Genomic DNA, 22,368 nt, shown 5'->3' with positions numbered 1-22,368 from the left:
GTTTGTTTGTTTGTTTGAGATGGAGTCTTGCCCTGTTGCCCAGGCTGGAGTGCAGTGGCCCGATCTCGGCTCCCTGCAAGCTCCCCCTCCCAGGTTCACGCCATTCTCCTGCCTCAGCCTCCCGAGTAGCTGGGACTACAGGAGCCTGCAACCACACCCGGCTAATTTTTTGTATTTTTAGTAGAGACGGGGTTTCACCGTGTTAGCCGGGATGGTCTCGATCTCCTGACCTCGTGATCCGCCCACCTCGGCCTCCCAAAGTGCTGGGATTACAGGCGTGAACCACTGTGCCCAGCTGAAATTTCCTATTCACTTTATAGAAAGGGTCACAATTTTTTTTTTTTATAAAAGATCAGAGAGTAAAATAGTTAAGTCTTCGTTCATAAGGTCTACGTTACAACTACTACACTCTGCTACTGTAGCAGGAAAACAGCCATAGACAATACATCAATGAATGGACATGGCTATGTCTCCATAAAACTTTGTTTTCAAACAGTGAAGTTTGAGTTTCATACAATTTTCATGTGTTACTAATATTATTTTTCCTTTTCTAAAAAACGATAAAAAATGTGAAAACCATTCTTAGCTTTCAGGCTGAACAAAAATATTCAGAAGCCTGGCTTTGGCACATAAGATGTAGTTTGCTGACTCCTGCTAAGTAAATATGTATAGAAGCAAGTCCTCTGGAAAGTAGGGTGATATGAGGACTGGACCACAGTGGAGGGATATGTTTTAAAGTGGAGAAGCCACAACGAACACAAGTGCAATTCATTCTACATATCAAAGCTTGGCAAATTCAATATGTAATTTCAGTGAATTTGTGAAAACACTTTTTCTTTTTTATACTGAATGGCTGAGTGCAATTCTATTTGAGTAGTAAAAATTATATTAAATCAAACATGTTTAAATGAATATTCTAGACCTATTCTTTTTTATCTCCATTTTAATATTATGACCATCTCTTTATTCTTTTCTCCCATTGCTGTTATTCCATTTCTCCACATAGATATCTCTTTTTTATTTTAATTTTTAGTTTTTTGGGGTACATAGTAGGTATATATATTTGTAGAGTATATGAGATATTTTGACACAGGCATGCAGTGTAATAATCATTTTGGGGTAAATGGGGTGTTCATCAACTCAAGCATTTTTCCTTTCTTTGTATTACCCATAATTCAGTTATACGGTTTTAGTTATTTTAAAAGGTACAATAAATTATTGCTGACTCTAGTCATAATATTGTGCTATCAAATACTAGATCTTATTCATTCCAACCACATTTTTGAGCCCATTAACTATTCCCACTCCCCCCACCACCCAAATTACCATTTTTAGCATCTGGTAACCATCACTCCACTCTCTACCACTGTGAGTTCAATTGTTTTAATTTTTCTAGTTCCTACAAATAAATGAGAACATGCAATGTTTGTCTTTCTGTGCCTGGCTTATTTCACTTAACGTAATGACTTCCAGTTCCATCCATGTTGTTGCAAATGACAGGATCTCATTCTTTTTTATAGCCGAATAGTATGCCATTGTGTTTATGTACCACATTTTCTTTATCCATTCATATGTTGATAGACACTTAGGTGGCTTCTAAATCTTGGCTATTGTGAATAGTCCTGCAATAAACATGAGAGAGAATGAGCTATGTTTTCGATATACTTTTGGGAATATACCTAGCAGTGTGACTGCAGGATCATATGGTAGTTCTATTTCTAGTTATTTAAGGAACCTCCAAAATCTCCATTTTTCTCTACATTGGTTGTAGTAATTTACATTCCCACCAGCAGTTTACAAGGGTTTCATTTTCTCTACATCCTTGCCAGCATTTGTCGTTGCCTGTCTTTTGGATAAAAGCCATTTTAACTGGGGTGAGGTGATATTTCCTTGTAGTTGTAATTTGCATTTCTCATATGATCAGTAATATTGAACACCTTTTCTCATATCGGTTCGCCATTTGTATGTCTTCTTTTGAGAAATGTCTATTCTGATCTTTTGCCCATTTTAAATCAGATTCTTAGATTTTTTTTCCTTTTCAGTTTTTTGATCTCCTTACATATTCTGGCTATTAATCTCTTGTCAGATGGATAGCTTGTAAATATTTTCTCCCATTCTTTAGGTGGTCTCTTCACTTTATTGGTTGTTTCCTTTGCTGTGCAGAAGTTTTTAGCTTGATATAATCTCACTTGTCCGCTTTTGCTTTGGTTGCCTATGCTTGTGAAGTGTTCCTTAAGAAATTTTTGCCTAGTCCAATGTCCTGGAGAGCTTCCCTGATGCTTTCTTTTAGTAGTTTTGTAGTTTGAGGTCTTAGATTTAATTATTTAATCCATTTTGATTTGATTTTTGTATAAGGCAAGAGATAGGGGTCTACTTTCGTTCTTCTGCTTATGGATATCCTGTTTTTCCACCACCACCCTGTCTTTTCCCTTATGTAACCTTGTGTATGTTCTTGACACCTTTGTCAAAAATGAATTCACTGTCAGTGTATAGATTTGTTCCTGGGTTGTCCATTCTGTTCCATTGGTCTATTTGTCTGCTTCTATGCCAGAACCATGCTGTTTTGGTTACTATAGCTTGGTAGTATAACTTGAAGTCAGGCAATGTGATTCCTCCAGTTTTATTCTTTTTGCTCATGATGGCTTATTCTCTTCTGGGTCTTTTTTGGTTCCATATACATTTTAGGATTGTTTTTTCCATTTCTGTGAAGAATATCATTAGTATTTTGTTAATGATTGCATTGAATCTGTAGATTGCTTTAGGTAGTATGGATATTTTAACAGTGTTTATTCTACCAATCCAGAAAGTGGAATATCTTTTCATTTTCTTATATGATTTTCAATGTCTTTCATCCGTGTTTATAGTTTTCACTGTAGAGCTCTTTTACTTCTTTGGTTAAGTTTATTCCTAGATATTTTATTTTATTTGTAGCTATTGTAAATGAGACTTCTTTGTTCTATTTTTTCTGATTATTCACTGTTGGCATATAGAAATGCTACTGGTTTTTGTATGTTGATTTTGTATTCTGCAACTTTACTGAATTTATCAGTTCTAATAGTTTTTTGGTAGAATCTTTAGGTTTTTCAAAATATGTAAGATTTTGAAAGGCTAATTCAAATTCTTCCTTTTCAACTTGGATGCCCTTTATTTCTTTCTCTTGTCTGATTACTAGCCAGGACTTCCAGTATGACGGTGAATAAGAGTGCTGAAAGTGGGCGTCCTTGTCAAGTTCCAGGTCTTAGAGGAAAGGCTTTCAGTTTTCTCCCATTTTGTATGATACTGTGGGTCTGTTGTACATGGCTTTTACTATTCGAGGTCTGTTTCTTCTATACCCAGTGGGTTTTTATCATGAAGGGATGTTGAATTTTATCAAATTCTTTTTCAGCATCAATTAAATCAGTTATGTAGTTTTTTGTCCTTAATTTTGCTGGTATGTTGTATTATCTGATTGATTTACATAAGTTGAACCATCCTTGCATCCCTGGGATAAATTCCCCTTCATCATAATGAATGGCCTTTTTAATGTGGTGTTGAATTTGGTTTGCTAGTATTTTGTTGAGAATTTTTGCATCAACATGCATCAGGAATATTGGCCCGTAGTTTTCTGTTTTTGATGTGTCTTTGTCCGGTTTTGGTATCAGGGTAATACCAGCCTTGTAGAATGAGTTCAGAAGTATTTCCTCCTCCTCCATTTCTTGGCATAGTTTGAGTAAGGCATGTATTAGTTATTCTTTAAATGTTTGGTAGAATTCAGCAGTGAAGCCATCAGATCCTGGGCTTTTCTTTGCTGGGAGACTACTGCTTGCTCCTAGGAGCCTCTAATGATCCTTTGAATTTCTGTGGCATCAGTTGTAACGTTGTCTTTTTCTTCTCTCATTTTATTTACTTGAGGCTTATCTCTCTTTTCTTAATCTGGCTAAAGGTTTGTCAATTTTATCTTTTCAAAAAACCAACTTTTTATTTTATTTAGCATTTATGGTATTTTCTTTGTTTCAATTTTATCTATTTCTGCTCTGATCTTTATTATTTCTTTTCTTCTAACTTTGGGTATGGTTTTCTCTTGCCTTTCTTGTTCTTAGGATGCATTGTTAGGTTATTTGAAGTTTTTCTACTTTTTTGATGTAGGTGCTTATAGCTATAAATTTTCCTGTTAGTTCTGCTTTTGCTGTAGCCCATAGGTTTTGCTATGTTGTCTTTTCATTACCATTTGCTTCAAGACATTTTTAAATTCCCCTCTTAATTTCTTCATTGACCCATTTGGTCATTCAGTAGCATATTGTTTAATTTTCACGTGTTTGTATAGTTTCCAAAATTCCTCTTGTTATTGATTCCTAGTTTTATTTTATAGTGGATAAAGAAGATACTTGATATAATTTCAATTTATTTTTTAGTTTTTTTAAGACTTGTTTCGTGACCTAACAAATGGTCTATCTTTGAGAATTATTCATGTACTAAGGAGAAGAATGTATATTCTGTAACTGTTCATTGAAATGTTCTGTAGATACCTATTAAGCCCATTTGACCTATAGTACAGATTAAGTCTGACATTTCTTTGTTGATTTTCTGTCTGAATGATCTGTCCAATGATGAAAGTGGGTTGTTGAAGTCTTCAGCTACTATTGTATTGGGGTTTATGTCTCTCTTTACCCTTAATAATATTTGCTTTATATATCTGGGTGCGTATATATTTGAAATTATGATATCATCTTCTTGATTTTCACCCTTTATCATTATGTAATGATTTTTTGTCTGTTTTTATAGTTTTTTCTTGAAATCTATTTTGTCATATCAGTATAGCTACGACTGCTCTTTTTTGATTTTTATTTGCATGGAATATCTTTGTCCATCCCCTTATTTTCAGTCTATGTGTATCTTTATAGGTGAAGTGTATTTCTTGCAGGCAATAGATTGTTGGGTCTTTTTTTTTTAACCCATTCAGCTACTCTCTGTCTTTTGACTGGAGATTCTAGTCTAATTATTCAATATTATTGATATTAATGATAAGCACTTATCCTGCCATTGTGTTATTTGTTTTCTAGTTTTTTGTGTGATCTCCTCCTTCTCTCCTTCCTCCCTCTCTTCCTTTTAGTGAAGATTTTCTCTGCTGGTATGTTTTAATTTCTTGTTTTATTTCTTATGTATCTATTGTAGGATTTTTAATTTGAATTTACCTTAAGGCTTGCAAATAATTTTTTATAATCCATTATTTTAAACTGATGGCAACTTAACACTGATTACATAAACAAACAAGCAAAGGAAAAACTAATAAATATTGTAGCCATTAACTTTGTCCCCCTACTTTTTAACTTTTGTTGTTTCTATTTATGTCTTATTGTACTGTCTATGTCTTGAAAAGTTTTCATACTTGTTATTATCAGTCTATTTTTTCATTTGTCACCTCAAAATATGAGTTCACACATCCCAATTACAGTGTTATACTATTCTGTGTTTTTTTTACTCATGAGTTATGTACCTTCAGATGATTTCTTGTTGCTCATTAACGTCATTTTCTTTCACACTGAAGAACTCCCTTTAGCATTTATTGTAGGAAAGATCTAATGTTGAAGAAATTTCTCAACTTTTGTTTGTCTGGGAAAGTCTTTATTTCTCCTTCATGTTTGAAGGATATTTTCACTGGATATACTATTCTAGGATAAACATTTTTTCCTCCAGCACTTTAAATATGTCATGCCACTCTTTCCTGGCATGTAAAGTTTCTACTGAGAAATCTGCTGCCAAGCATATTGGAGCTTCATTGTACGTTATTTGCTTCTTTTCTCTTGCTGCATTTATAATCCTTTGTTTATCCTTGAATTTTGAGAGTTAAGTTATTAAATAGCTTGAGGTAGTCTTGTTTGGATTAAATCTCCTTGGTATTCTATGGCCTTCTTATACTTGAATATTGAGATCTTTCTTTAGGTCTAGGAAGTTCTCTGTTCTCACTTTGAGTAAACTTTTTATTCCACCCACCTCTCTCCCTCCTCTATAAGGCCAATAACTGTTAGATTTGCCCTTTGGAAGCTATTTTCTAGATCTTGAAGCCATGATTCATTCTTTTTTATTCTTTTTTCTTTTGTCTTCTCTGACTATATATTTACAAATAGCCTGTTTTGAAGCTCACTAATTCTTTCTTCTGCCTGATCAATTCTGCTTTTAACAGATTCTAATGCATTCTTCAGTATACCAGTTGCATTTTTCAGCTCCAGAATTTCTGCTTGATTCTTTTCAATAATTTCAATCTCTTTGTTAAATTTATCTGATAGGATTCTGAATACCTCATCTGCGTTATCTTGAATTTTGTTGAGTTTCCTCAAAGCAGCTTCTTTGTTCTCATTTCTTTTTTTAAATTTTTTATGTAACTTCTATTTTGAGTTCAGGAGTACATGTGCAGGTTACATAGGTAAAATAGTATCATGGGGTTTGTTGTACAGATTATTTTGTCACCCAGGCATTAAGCCTAGTACCCATTAGTTATTTTTCCTGATGCTCTCCTTCCTCCTACCCTCCACTCTCCAATAGGCCCAGTATGTGTTGTTCTTCTCTATGTGTCCATTAGTTATAATTTAGCTCCCACATATAAGTGAGAACATGCAATATTTGGTTTTCTGTTCTTGTGTTAGTTTGCTAAGGATAATAGCCTCGGTCTCCAACCATGTTCCTGAAAAGGACATGATCTAATTCTTTTTTATGGCTGCATAGTATTCCATGCTATATATTATATCCCACATTTTCTTTATCCAGTCTATCACTGATGGGCATTTAGATTGATTCCATGTCTTTGCCGTTGTGAATAGTGCTGCAGTGAACATATGTGTGTATGTGTCTTTATGACAGAATGATTTATATTCCTTTGGGTATATACCCAGTAATTAGATTGCTGGGTCAAATGGTATATTTTTGTTTTTAGGAACAGAAATATCCTCAAAATTTCTGTTTGATGAATCACCATAGTGTCTTCATGGTTGAACTAATTTAAACTCCCATCAACAGTGTATAAGTGTTCCTTCAGTTGGAATAAAAGAAAAAATTGACAAATGAAATCTAGTAAAACTAAAGAGCCTCTGTACAGCAAAAGAAACTGTCAACAGAGTAAACAGACAACCCACAGAAGGGGAGAAAATTTTTGCAAACTATTCACCTGACAAAGGCTAATATCCAGCATCTATAAGAAATTAACTTACATTTACAAGAAAAAAAAATCAACCCCCATTAAAAAGTGGGCATTGGGGGCTGGGTATGGTCGTTCACGCCTGTAATCCCAGCACTTTGGGAGGATGAGGTGGGCAGATCACTTGAGGCCAGGAGTTCAAGACCAGCCTGACCAACACGGCAAAACCCCGTCTCTACTAAAAAGACAGAAATTAGCCAGACATGGTAATGCTTGCCTGTAATCCCAGCTACTCGAGGCCCTGAGGCACAAGAATCACTTGAACCCAGGAGGCAGAGGTTGCATTGAGCTGGGATCATGCCACTGCACTCCAGCCTGGGTGATAGAGACTCCGTCTCAAAAAAAAAAAAAAAAAAAAAAAAAAGAAAGAAAAGTGAACAGACACTGCTGCTCAAAAGAAGACATACATGCAGCTAACAATTATATGAAAAAAAGTGCTACATCATTGATCATTAGAGTAATTCAAACCAAAACCACAATGAGATACCATTTCAAATCAATTCAGAATGGCTATTATTAAAAAGTCAAAAAATAACACATGCTGGGAAGGTTGTGGAGAAAAAGCCACACTTATACACTACAGGTGGGAGTATACATTAGTTCAACCATTGTGGAAGAGAATGCAGTGATTCCTCAAAGACTTAAAGTCAGAAATACCATTCGATCCAGTAATCCCATTACTGCGTATATACCCAAAAGAACATAAATCATTCTATTACAAAGACACGTCATGCGTATGTTCATTGCAGCACTATTCACAATATGAAAGACATGGAATCAACCTCAATGCTCACCAATGATAGACTGGATAAAGAAAATGTGGTATATATACACCACGGAATACTATGCAGCCATAAAAAAGAATGAGATCATGTCCTTTGCAGGGACATGGATGGAGCTGGAGGCTGTTATCCTGAGTGAACTAATGCAGGAGCAGAAAATCAAATACCACATGTTCTCACTCATCACTGGGAACTAAATGATGAGAACACATGGACACATAGAGGGGAACAACACACACTGGGGCCTATCAGATGGTGGAGGGTGGGAGGAGGGAGAGGATCAGGAAAAATAACTAATGAGTACTAGGCTTAATACCTGGGCGATAAAATAATCTGTTAAACAAACCCCCATGACACACCTTTACCTATGTAACAAACCTGCACATGTACCCCTGAACTTAAAATAAAAATATAAAAAAGGAAGGTTCACTTTAACATCTCATAAAACTAATTAGTGAGTTTCATGACTTTCCTTCATCTTTCAACTACATCATTAGGAGAGTAAGAGAGGGATAGAAAAATGTCACTTCTACTAATATTGTATTTGATGAGAATTAGTCACATTGCCCAACCCAAAGGCAAGTCAGGCTAGGAAATAAAAGGAAACCTATAGTTACGGTTTTATTGAGCACAAAATTGAGGTGTGAAACAATTCCATAGAACAGGAGTGGCCAAATATTTTCTCTAAAAAGCCAGACATAATAAATATTTCAAGTGTTGTGGAAAATATGACCTGTGTTGCGACTACTGAACTCTGCAATTATAGTACGAGGGCAGTCATAGACCATAACTAAATGAGGGAGCAATGGGTGCAGTTTTGTTCCAATAAAACTTCATTTTTAGAAACAGGAAGAAAGCCAGATTTGAGCCACAGGCCATAGTTTGCTGACCCTTGCCTTAGGGCATGACTAAGTATAATGCTTCTAATTTTTCATCACCCTTACTGCTATGTGATACTGAAGCATAATCATTGGATTGCTTGTCTCTTTTTCGAAGACTCATGTGCCATCCATCCTCCCACCTCGTTTATATTCATACAGAAAACAGGGACAGTGTCTTGTTTTATTCCTATCACAGTGCTTACGTGCATGATATCTGCAGTTTAGTGTATGTTCAGCAAATATTTGTAGAATGAATTAATATTGCACAAAATAGCTTGTTTGTTTTCATGATTGCATAAAACATTGTGTTTTTAAAGCAGTTAGAACCATGGGTGGTCAGGATTCAGAAACATGTATTTAAGAAACAATTAGAAATGGGGGAATCATATATATCATTTGGCTTGACCTTTATAAAATTTATGAGAAGAAACATAGAAATGTGGTCCATTGCCTACACATAAAGTGAAACAAAAACACAACACAATAAAACAAAGCCTAGAATGATGGGCTCCATTGGAGCCAGCGCTATAGCTCATGCCTTTCTAATTGCTATTATAGAATGTGGTGGAAAGGACATTGAATGTGAAATTGAGATTCAGCAGTCCCAAGGACAGACATTTCATGAGAAACCAAGCCTGACATTAAACCCTGATCTTTTGTATTTCAAAAGCAACTGAGTCCTCTGTGGGTGCTAATTTGAATTCTATTACTGAGTTGATGTGTCATAATAATAAATGACTTGCACTCTCTTGCATAACAATATTTATACCTCTCAATGTCTTTCATAAAAATATTTGGTGAAATATTGGTGAAAGAATAAATCATATTGTGATAATTTACACACCTTATATATTTTTTTAAAAACCCTATACTGTGCAGATATTTTCCATATGATTGTCTATTTTAGATTATAGATTAAATGATATCTACTTGGAAGAAAATGATAAGCTGGAAGAGACAGCAATTTGAATATTTTGCAGGAAAATAATCTATGGAGTACAGGGATTAACACATATTTAAGGGTAATAAAAACATTAGTAAACCAAAAGTTAATTGTACTTTGGAGAAAGTAAAGTACAATAAACTTTACCTTATTATAAAAAGTTTACATTTGATCTCTTATAATTATTATAAGAGATTTTTAGTATTTCAGTAATATAAACTAAAAAATAAAAAGTAAGAAAGGTAGAGTTGAATCCTGGGAAAAACACACACATTTGAGAGCCAAAAAACTGCAGTTTTTCTGAAGGACAATGTTAGAAGCTCTGCTAGGCAAGAAAAGAAAGTGAATATAATTAAAACTATGGGGAAAAAGCCCCAGAAAATTGCTACGGGGAGTAATTCATTACTGACAAAGGGTATAGATTATATCTGCTATTACTCCATGATTTTAACTTTTATGTTTAAATTGACTTTTCTTGCTATTTGGGGATTAATTAAAATTCTTAAAAAAGAAAATCAAAGTTCACTAAAAATACCAAGCATATTCTTAGATCTTAGAAAATGTTCCATATAACTTTATTTAATTCTGATGATAAAATTCCAGCATCTTGTACTTGGGAACAATATCTAATGCCACCAATTCCTTGGACTATTTAAAGAATAAAAAAATGGAACTGCCTTAATTATTCTTCTATGTTGTAAGGCCCTTTTATTATTAGATTCTATATCCTCTGGGTCTGGCAAATGCCAGATGCTTAATAAATGTTAGTTGAATGAAAGGTGACTTAAAATTGCAACTTTCAAAATTGATTACCAAGAGAAATTTTGTGCACTATATTTTTACAATCTTCTGGGGAAAGCAAATGAAAAGCCTAACCTATCACATCAACTATGCCATAATATTTTCTCATTAAATAATTTTTTATTATTTAATTCATCAAGAAATTAATGTATCTCTGTAAAGCACAATTATATTTTAAGTATAAAACCCAGATAGTTTTTAACTGAAAAAAATTATCACTTAGATTAAATTGATGGGGAGATTGGGCTGAAGATGAACATGATCATATTAATACTCTCGTCATGCTCATTTATTTTAGCCTAAACAGCGAACATCCATTGTGTCTTCTCTGGATTTTCACCGAATGAATCACAACCAAGAATATTTTGAAATCAACACATCTACAGGGTGCACAAGCTTTACTGCCAGTCCTCCTGCTAGTCCACCCACCTCTTCTGTGGGAACCACAGAAGTCAAGAATGAGGGAACTAACCATACAGGTAAAGCAGTTCACTTTATGCAGCTGTATTTTTATTTTAAGACTGAAGTATTTATGAGTTAGAGGAATTAGGAGGAGTCTTCGTACAAATTGCATTGTGTTTTTAGTTCACCTCCATGTGTGGCAATGTAGGGCTTTAAGATTCTTGTCAGTGTGGCTGTAATATTCTTTTTGAATACATGGATGGCCTTTTGGTGTTAGATATTAAAGATGATGATTTAATGTGATTATAGTAGTAAAAATACCAGGGACCTGGAAATGTTCTTCCACTGCCATTTACCCCTCACCACACAGCGGTATCAACTAATCAACAGACAACTTTATTAAGAGATGCTTTGAAGCCGGAGAACTTATATCAAGGATGTCTGGTAAGAAGGAATTGTACAATGTGGCCTAGGCTGGCTTTCAACCTATTTAAACCATGGTGAACTTGCAGAGGAAGTGTGTTGGGGGAGAAAATGCTGGGTGTGAGGGTAAGATTAAGAAAAATAACACCACCCACTAGTAAAACATACATTGTTCCATGCAGTCAGATTTGCAAAGCTTTCTTTATTTGGGGGACAAGGAGCTAACGCCTGGCAAGGCCAAGGGACATATTAGAAATAAGAGAAGTGGGACCCAAAGAATATCCTCCCCTGCCATATAATTTACAATAAGGGTTAAAGACAAATACAATATAGAGACAAAAGTCTTAATTTTAAATGTTTTATTTGGAAATCAAGAATTGCATTTGTGGCATACTCATAGGCTGGATGGTCTTCATTATGTCCAGAGAACAGACGGATAGAGGTTTTACAAAAAAGGGGAAAGTTACATATTGCTCTTTGAGGAAGTTCATTGGCACTAATAATATGTTGGTGAGCTGGAAAGTTTTGATTGGTAAGTGATGGCTATGGGTAAAATGATTCTCAGAGTTGCAGCAGGTTGTTTCAGTAGCTATTAGATAAAACTGGTTTCAGGTTACAGCAGGCAGCTTCAGCAGCCAAGCTCACAGGGAATTACATTGTTGGAACAGTGTTATGTGCCCTAGATGTTTTCTCCCCTTGACCTCTCAACTGTTTTAGTTGGGTATAACAAGAATGACCTAATTCATATGGTCAACTTTCATGTAAGTAAACAATTACTTTCCTTCCAAGAAACATGATTCAAAAACCCAGCCTAGCATTCATTCAGTGAATTCAAATTCTGATTTGAATTTAGAATAATGAAGTGTGGTCTATGTGAGTATTCCATATAATCTTTGTTCACAGTGAGTGTATGTGTATATATGTATGTTCATATACCTACTTAAGTCCTTTAATCGGACTCTATGTTTAAAAGCACTAACACAAACATTCTGGAAATATAGTCAGAGAATTACTTTTCCCTAGGAATAAAGCTAAGATTTTAAAAACAATGACTAATGGGAATGATAAGATTGACATTCTATGGAAGTTATAATCCAAACTTTCATGGAAGCCGGAGTGATATTTATAAAATGTAAATCAAAGCATGTCATTACCATGCTTAAAATGTTCCCATGTCTTCTAATCGCACTTAGAATAAAACCCAACTCCTTACCATATCCAGTGATGCCTAATTTAGCCTGGTTCCTGACTAGCTCTGTAACTTGACTGAACTCATCCTGGCCATACTGGCTTTCTTTGCTGAACATTCTAGCCCTGGGGCTTTTGCACTTTGTTTCCTTCTGCCTGGAATCTCTGCCTTAAAATTTTCATGTGCCTAAGTGTCATTTAGGTTTTGGTTCAAATGCATTTCCTCATAGAGGCCTTCCCATACCACCCTATCTCAAGTAGATGTCCTCAACGTGATAAGAATTATAACAATAAAAATGCAAAAATAACAATAATAATAAATACTTAAATGACACTATGTGTCAGGAACTGTTTTAGGCATTTTATGTATATCAATTCATTTAAACCTCATGACTGTTATATAAATTCGGTATTATCTGTAGATAAGGAAATACACAAAGAACATAAGTAACTAAATAACAGCCCATAATGACAAAGCTGGAAAAAGTTCTGGTATGAACTCAAACCTGGTACTAGAGTTCATGTTTTTAACCATTTTTCTATATCACTCTAGTCACTTCTATCAAATCATCCCGTTTTCTTTTATCCATAGCCTTATCTCCTATGTAAAATTATATTGGTTACTTCTTTACTTATTTCTTGTCGTCTTTCTAGAATGTAAGCTGCAATAGGTTGGTCTCTGGCCCATTGTAAGCACTGAGGTCAGACTGCCAAAGTTTGATTACTAACTGTGAAACTGAGCCTCTTACCTAGCTATGAGACTTGATCTCTTTATGCTATAGTTTTCTTACTATAGAATTAGATTAACAATGAATTAATTAGATTAACTTACCCTGTACTGTGGTGATGCATGTAAAGTGACTAACACAGTGCCTGGCAGATAGTTAGTGCTCAATAAATGTTAGTAACTATTAGTAGTAGTAGCAATAACAATGATATTAACATAATTCTTTGTATTCTACATCAATCCTAGCATTCATTCAGTGAGCATTAAAATGTATTGTCTGCTATGTACTAAATGCAGTTTTATAGGACAGGAGAGATGAGATGTGATTTGTAAAAACAAAAAATAGTGGTATGTGGACCTGGGAAGGGTTCTGGGCATATAATTATTATTCAAACAATATTTATTTGAATGACTAGTTCCAGATTTGAAAACCTAAAATGGGGCAATGACAGATGCTTTGATACTTGCCTTTCAGAATGCCTTTCTTGGTTTTGTTTTAGTTAGTACATTGTTTTGGGGATGATCGATTTTCTGAATATTTTTCAACAGGTAAGAATCGGTTTTCAACAAATTTTTCTGTCTCAGTTGGATAGGAATATTACCTTTTCCCCTTTATTATTTTAATTAAAAGCAATAGAAATTTAGGTCTAGTCCCAAAGCCCTGGCGCCTTTTCTCCACTCTGAAACTGACCACCAGAAGCAGAGGATCAGAACAAACACATTTTGCTGCTGCCAGGAGTTCAGTGGCATCATCCAAAATGTGTGGAGAAATTGTAATCATCAGGATATTTTCAGGTCTGACCTTTAAACAGAACTGAAATCTAACCTTTTAACAGTTGAAATGGTTTCCAATACCATGTTACAGTGGTTTTCTAAGATAATATATCACCTCCACATTACATAAACAATTTTAGGATAGACTGATATTTAGTAATAATGTGAAAGCACAATTTGCTTTGCTTTACATTAAAAAGGAAAACTTGTAAGGAAGGCATTTGTACTTGCAAAAGTAGCATTTTATTAGCTTACACATATTTAATTTGTTATGCTTTACAGACATTGCCACTGGGTATATAAAGAGAATGAGTTGAAGAGTCAGTTCCATCACTGATTTGCTAGATATTTTCCATCAAAACCTTTAACTTTTCTGACATTTAATTTGCTCCTCTGAAAGTGGAAATAATATCTACTCTTTAGGTATTTGTAGTAATAAATGAGTTTATGTTAATACATTTTGTAAACCTTGGCAACTAATATTATTCTTTAATATTATCACAGTTATTGCTTAATATTATTTTTGTTTTTAATACTATTATTTGAAATCTGTAGTAGCTTTAAGATAGGGGGGCCTGTTGTAAGTCTGTACAAGGTATGCCAAGGTAGCTGACCAAGCTTATGCCGAGATAGCTGACCTTTTCTTGACTTAGAAGTATAATTTAAATTTACTGATTAATCTACATTTCATTTTATAAATGATTGCATACACAAAAAATTAATCTTGACCAAAATGGCATTTAACAGAACAAAGACTAATACATCTTCAAAAATAAATCGTATGCTGCAAAACACTTTTAAGTGAACCAATGAATTTATTATAACAGAGGGCCATTTAAAAAGTAGCTTGAATTGTGATTAAAGCTTCAACTTGTGAATCATCAAAAAAGGTTGTTAGAATTAAAAAGCTTTGGTGTTATACAGTCTGGGGAATGATATAAATAGGTTCACATTTAACTAGAAAGTTCACTCTAGTATTAATATGTAGTAGATTTGAGATGAAATGACATTGGAGAAGGGGAGAAATAGTTTCATAGCAAAGGGAAAATGTAAATTGGTTTAAGAGATACAAGGAAAGAGTAATTAACAGGTCATGGTAATTGGATGTGCAAAGATGAGGGGAAATATTTCAAGGAGGGCTCTAAAGTTTCTAGCTTAAGCTGATGAGTGAAAGGTGGATGCTCTTCCTTGAAATGTAGAATATTTGTAGGTAAGAAGAGAGGGTGAGGGATAGATTATGTAAGGCCCTAATAAGCCATTTCAGGACTTTGGCTTTAACCCAGAGTGATTTTTCTTAGAGCCTATTCAGTTCTTTCAGAAGAAAAGTCACATGATCTAACTTCTATTTTATGAGGATTAATCTGGCTATAATGTCGATCATGGATGGGGAGAGGGAACAAGGGTGGATGCAGGAAAGCCAGTTAGAAGGCAATTGTAGCATTGCAGTAAGAGAGGGAAAGCAGCTAAGATCACAGGTGAATCAGCAGAGTTAGAGAGAAATGGAGAGATGTTGGACATATTTTTAAGGCAGATCCAATGGAATTTCATGGTGGAGTGGACATGGTATATGAGAAAATGAGAAGAATTAAGGATGACTCCAAGACCTTTCTCCTTAACAACTGTAAGAATGAATTTCCTATCGTTTGACACACAAGAGATTTGGGGAAGAGAAGGTTTGGTAAACAGTGAGAAATACCAGGAGTTAATTTTGAGATGCCTACTGAATATCTGAATAGATGTGTCAAGTAGGCAGCAGAAGGTCCAGTCTGCAGGTATAGATGTGAACGTCGTCATTATACAGATGATATGCAGCGTGTGTAGAGGAAGAAGACCAATAACTGAGCTTGAGGAAGGATGGAATGAAAGGCAGCACCAGCAAGGGAAGCTGATAAGGAGCAACCTGTGAGATAGAAGGAAATCTTTTGGTGAGTGTCTTGTTCTGAAGTCAGGTGAAGAAAGTTATTAAGAAGGAAAGAGGGATCAACTCTGTCAAATATAGCTGATAAGTTAAGTAGGATGAGGACTAAGTTAGAATAGGTTCATGGATTTAACAATATTGGGGGTGGGGGGGTCACTGCTGACCTTGACAAGAGCAATTTGGTTGGAAATGATAGAGCCTCATGTGGTGGTTTTAAGGGAGAAAGGGAGGAGAGGACTTAGAGTAATGATAGACTACCCTTGAAGGAATTTCTTCACAGGGGAATTTTTAAGTTACGATGGAGGAGAAAGAGGGGATGATGAATTCTATTATTAACCAAGTGGAGAGACTGGTTTTGGACAGGAGCATGAACAGATGTTTTGGTTGTGGGTGCAAATACTGGCAGGAGATCCATGTGGTGGGAATCTGGGGAAGATCTGTTCTGATAGTTTTCAGTTTTTCTACAAAGTAGAGAGCAGCAGCTTCAATTGAAACCAAAGACAGAGAAGGAAATGTAGAGTTTGAGGAAAGAGAGAACAGTGTGAAATAGTTGTTTAGAAGAAACAGTGAGTGGACAAAGGAGGTATATGATGTGATCACCTGGCAGCATTAAAGGCCTATTTAAAGTCTGTGTTCATGCATTTAGAATTAGACTATCCAATGTGGTTCTGTGTTTTTCTCCAGCCTATGTCAGCTGGAGGATGCAGGTGCAGAGTATTTGGAGAGTTGAATTTTACATAGGTTGTGGTTTTGCTAAATTGGTATATTGAAGTGATTGAAGAGCAAGGAAATATAAATGCAAGGGAGTGTAATATTTAACCATAGACTTCAAGATGAAGAGGGAAGTGAAAGAGAACAAGGAGATAATTAACACTGAAAAATCAATAAGATCTTAGGACTGGAGATTCCAGTGGGGTCAAAGTATTGCTGGAGTCAAGGTATTAAAGAAGAGGGTTGGAATAATTGTTGGATTCAAAGAATGGGATGCACAAGGAACTAGGAATGATTATAATTATCAGCAATTGTCTTAAGACCATGGGACTGAGCAGCTGAGTTAGCCTCTCCTCCATCAACATATTCTTAAATACTGCAATTAAATCAGTACAACAATTTCCTGGAAGAAATGTTTGATACTTCTAAAGACATAACATTCACTGCGTTCATAATATTTAATCTTTCCATTTGTTTAACACATTGTAATATAGATCACCTTTATCTGAGTTCACTTCTTCTATACTTTGTCCCACTCTTCCTTGAGGTGCCAAGGCTCCTCATGTCATTCCCTGGCTGCCAAAGTCTCCCTAAGAGAGGTGTTTCATTCAAGGCCACTTCCCTAAGGGGCTCTCTCTGCACATGGCCACTATGTGTCTCATTCTCATGTGAAACCTTTGAATGACCTGAGAACCCATCTGCTAAGATATTTCAATCTCTTGGGTCCCCTTAATGGTTGCCAGTGTGTTCTTCTTTCCTCGGGTAACAGTTTTTTTTAAATAGAGGTGGTGAGGAGTGGTAGAATTCTGGATCTATGTTAAAGGTAGATCTATCTGTCTATCTATCTATCTATCTATCTATCTATCTATCATCTGTCTATCGATTGATCTATCAATCTATCTACATATATATTTGGATGAATTGGAGGTAGGATATAAGAAAATAAAAGGGACCAAAGTTGTAATTCAAAGATATTTGGTGTTTTGACCTTTGGAAAGATGGAGCTGATATTAGTGGAGATGGGGAAATCTCAGTTTTGAACATTTTAATTTGAAAATCTGTTGGATATTCAAGTAGATATGTAGAGTAGATAGTTGAGATAATGATTTTTTTTCAGTGAGGGAGGGTAGGGTGGGAGGAAGCCATGTGATAATTTTATGCTTATCAGAAGTAAAGAGTATCCGTTTTAAAAGACCGAAAAATAGCATCTCAGCCTATTGTGAGTGAATTTATGAGTTCTGAACTCTGGATAGTTGTGTTGTGAATTGCTGGGGGAAAAGAAGCTGAGCATCGCCAGTGATAACAGGTGTTCTCTATCTTTATAGAAAGCTGTGTCCAAAAAGTTGTTTCCACATGAAGAATTTTGTGCATTAGCACTTTCTCAAGGGCACCTGCTAAGCAAGTCAACTACCTTGGGTAACTAATTATCTTCAGTTTTGCTAGTAGTTTCAAACCATCACCTCCTGCAGGAGAAAACTGATGGGAGGAGAAAACCCAAAAGGAGTAAAGTGGAAAAGTGCTTCTTTCCAAGTGGGAGAAATAACAAAAACAAAAGCCTGTAAGTGCTTAGCAGCATAGGACGCTTTTCTGCAAAGGAGAGAAAACACTAGAGGAGAACTAAAATTAGAATGGAGAGGGTGGCATAGGCCTCTCACACTGATCAGGGATTGCCAGAAAGGCAAATGAAGGCCTGTGTTTTAATTAGCTCACATGGCCTGGAAATAGACCTCCTGAAGCTGAGACATCATTATTACAGCAGCCACTGGACACAGGCAGCTGAGGGAGGCTTTGGCCTCCAGCCGACAGGAAGGCCAGGAACAGGCTGCTGAGATGACCTCTCAACTCCAAGCTAAGATTCGGGGCAAGCTGATATGGAGAAAGTAAAGGGTTAGAGAGGATGATGCGAGATTACATCTTTGGGACCTGTTTTCCTAAAAATATATACATTAAATATATTAGCTGAGTTATTGGTTGGTAAGTTCAGTACTTTCAATAGACCAGGATTTTAGGTACCCTAGAGGCAAGTATTTTTATATCAAATGCTGCATATAGATGTAATGGTAAATTATATTCTTGTCACTTCTTGATAAATCATGAAATGTGTCTCCTGTACTTTTTCCTGTTTTCCTGTGGTGTCACATGATGACTTTCACCCAGTGCCTTTGTGACAAATTGCACATCAGGTAGAAGGCAAGGTACAGGTTACGAGATGCTTGATGAAGAAAAGTTGATTGCTTTTCAGCACTTAAAATTATGAAAATATATAGTTAGATAATGGGGTGATGTTAGTTAGCTAGTGCATGGGACTTGCTACTCCAAATGAAATTAGTTGATATAATACTATTGGCTTACCTAAGCAATATTAAATAAATATGTTTACTCAGGGTGTGCCATGAGAAAGTGCTGTGAGAGTATCTCAAGGGGGTGACTGATCTCATGCCAACAATGAGTGGGGCTCTGAAAGACAAAGAAGAATTAAGTAGGCCAAGGTGGGGAAGGAAGATTATTCTTTAAAGAAGGAATAGCATATTTAAAAAAATCCCTGTGGTAGAAATTAACATGAAACTGCAGGTCAGAGAGAAAGGAGAGAAATGACAGCAGTTGAAGCTGCAAAGCGAGTAAAAGCCCAATCAAACCCTTGTAGCTACCTTCAGGATTTTGGTATTTATCCTAAGAGCAATGAGAAGTCATTGATAGGTGTTTTAAACGAAGAGAGATGATCTGATTTGCATTTTACTGTCCGGTGGCTCTTATTTTCTCTGTGAACCAAGAGCAAGGCTGTCTTTGGAGAGTAACAAAAGAGGGCAAAGATGAGATATTTGAGGAGGATGGAGAAAGTTTGAATTAGCTTTTTGTTCAAACTCCTAACGAATGAATGGCTGGTACATGGGGCCGGAGAGACACACAGGAAAAGGGATAATAGGGAGTGGGCATCCCTTCCAGTATACCTGTGGCCTGCAGGTGGCATATTTAGGTCAAGACCATTCTGGCCAGAGCCTGGAGCTCTTTCTGGCTGGTCACCTCAGCTCGCCTCGCACTGGCAAAGTGGTCCCTCTGAGTCTCTGCCAGGTCGGCCATCTGTCTTTCCTAGCCTCTGCAGCGGTCACCTCTCCCCTTGCCAAGCTGGCCCCAGGGCAGTCCAGTTGGCTTTCAGACCAGCTGCCTGCTGAGGCCCCCTTCTGGAGGCTCCAGGTACCTCTGGGTCTCATTCGTAATTTAGGAATATCAGTGGGACTCAGAAAGATTTATCCCCAAAATCTTGCTAGTCCTTACCACAGGGAACTATCAAGTTTAATGGGATGTGGCCCTGCCCAGAATCTAGATGGGATTGGGAACCCAGAGCTCTCTTTTCTTATGTTTGCCCAATACCTATTTATTATGCTACATTCTCTCGAGGCCAGTGCCCAGAAAGGAAAGTTCCAGACACAAATGTAGAACTATTTCCCTATCCTCCCCATCTCATTCAGCCTTTTCCGTTTTGAAATTCTCCAGAAGCTGGTATGTCCTTTCTCTTCTGGGATGGGCTTCTCATTTGTCTATACAATAGATCTTCATACGTCATTCTGATTGGTCTAAAGCAGGACTCTGATTTTTAAGTCTATTGACTTGCTAACCCACCTTTTCTTCCGTGAGGGCATTAGGTACCCTGTCCAGCCCTGGAAGAGGAGCAGTTTCCAGTGAAACACAATTTGAAGATGGAAATATATCAAGTTCTTCTTTAAAAAATACTATCCCTATTACATTAAGCCAGTGCCATTAACTGCAAACTACATAAACACAACATATGCTTAATTAATGTAGCTTCATAAATGCTTAATACATGTGGGTATTATTACTTTTTTATTGCTGTTATTACTAAAGATCTAGGCAACAAGCAGAGCCTGAAATTTTAGAATTCTGTACAAATTGCAGAGCACCCGGGTGCTATGAGTCCAGCCAGGCACCAGAGTCTTAAATTCACAAAATTGCTTGGAACAAGCAGGTCAACCTGCTGATGAGCAGAGCTGAAAATTCCATCTGCTCTGTGCCCCAGTTTTATGTATCCTGGGGTGGGAAGGTGTGTCACTGCTGGGGACAGCCAGAGTCCTACAAGCGCTAATCCTTCCAAAATTACAGCAGAGGCAAGGGCGCAGTAGTTTCAGAGAGATTTTGTGTTGAAAATCTGTTTTTTTTTAAATCAATTTTTTATTAACTCAATTTTCTCTTGCTTTAACTTCTATTAATGCACGTGAAAATATAACAGATTTGTTACCTGAAATTTTCTTTGAAATTCAAATTTATTGCTGTATATATCTTCTCTCTAATTATCTTGTCATTTTTAGTTTACTTAGTAGTTTTTCTCTCCTGACTTTCTCAACCAGGATGTTTATATCTCTTGAAAAATCTCCCTGCGTATTAGTTATATTTGTGTGATATATGTGTGATCATTAAAGTTAAAAATAAAGCTGTGAGAGAAAAGCTTACGGTAATTGAAAAATTAAAACAAAAGGAGGAAAAGAGTCTTTTGGTATTCCCAGGTTGGTGCTATGGAGAAAATCCCCTCCTTCCCCCTAGTTGAAAACAGTTTTCAAACTACAAGTCCTTTTTCTCTATTCAGATCTTCTATCTGTACAGTCTTCTTTGGGGAGAACATCTTCCCCTCTTGCTCTCTGCACTTGTCTATGTTGGGTGGGTGCCTCATGTGTTTACCTGGGGCCAGGCCCTTCAAACGCAGGCTTCACTTTTAGGTGTCATGCCACAGTGAGCCAGCCTGTAACAGAACTTGTTCCAGACATTCTCCCCAGTTACTTCTACCTACTGGATAGACTGATTGTTCCTTGCCTCTCCTAGACTCTAGTGACCTCAACTCTTCAAATCTGTCATTGGCAGGATTCTAAGAAGGCTGTGATCCTGCTCCCTGTCTCCAGGCCTTTGTGTGAGGTCCTTCTTTTGAGTGTGTGTGAGGCCCATAACTTGCTACTAGCCAATGGCAAAGGTGATAGGATATAACTCCCAGATGTTTTAGGGCAAAGGTGAATGGATTGTGCAGATGTAATTAAGGTCTCCAATCACTGGTTTTAAGTTAATCAAAAGAGAGATGAACTGATAATAAGCTGATTCCTTAAATTTCGGGCATAGAAGTTAGCAACTTGATGCAGCTGAATTTCTCTCTCTTTGTTGCTAGCTTTGGAGAATAAACCACATGAGCTCTGCAGCTGCAAGGAAGCAAATTGGGCCAACAGTCTGTGAGCTTAGAAAAGGACCCTGGCCCTCAGATGAGAGCTGGAGCCCTGGCCAATATCTAAATGAGACCCTGAGCAGAGGGCCCAGTTAAGCCACCCAGACTCCTGACTCTTGTAAACTGTGAGATAATAAATGCATGCTCTTGTAAGCCACTAAGTTCGTTGTGCCATATTATGGAGAGGCAGAAAACAAACATATCCCATGCTCCTCTGATTTTGGAAAGAGAGTGTCTGTCCCTCTCTCCATCTGCTCTGGCCTCAAGGTGCCTCTCCCATCAATACCAGTCCCTTGATCTTTTTGAGATTACACAATAAAGAGGGAAGGATTTTAAAACTGTCACCTTTGCCCCACATCCCCAAGCTCAACTTAACCACTTATGCAATTTTCTATCCTATCATTCCCAAAATACCAATTTTTACTTTAATAG

General features: G+C 36.5%; 1 protein-coding gene across 22 annotated transcripts in view; it reads left to right on the top strand.

The window, feature by feature from the left end:
• Positions 1-22,368, top strand: part of ANKS1B (ankyrin repeat and sterile alpha motif domain containing 1B) — a 1,250,151-nt gene that overhangs the window by 574,252 nt on the left and 653,531 nt on the right. For all 22 annotated transcript variants that reach the window (XM_006719514.5, XM_006719507.5, NM_152788.4 and 19 more), the window contains one exon: positions 10,874-11,054. In XM_006719514.5, the coding sequence (XP_006719577.1) occupies positions 10,874-11,054 (181 nt within the window). The remainder of the gene's footprint in view (positions 1-10,873; positions 11,055-22,368) is intronic.

The sequence above is a fragment of the Homo sapiens genome, chromosome 12 (assembly GCF_000001405.40).
Source record: "Homo sapiens chromosome 12, GRCh38.p14 Primary Assembly".
Taxonomy (NCBI): Eukaryota; Metazoa; Chordata; class Mammalia; order Primates; family Hominidae; genus Homo; species Homo sapiens.
This window is presented reverse-complemented; position numbering and strand designations above follow the sequence as displayed.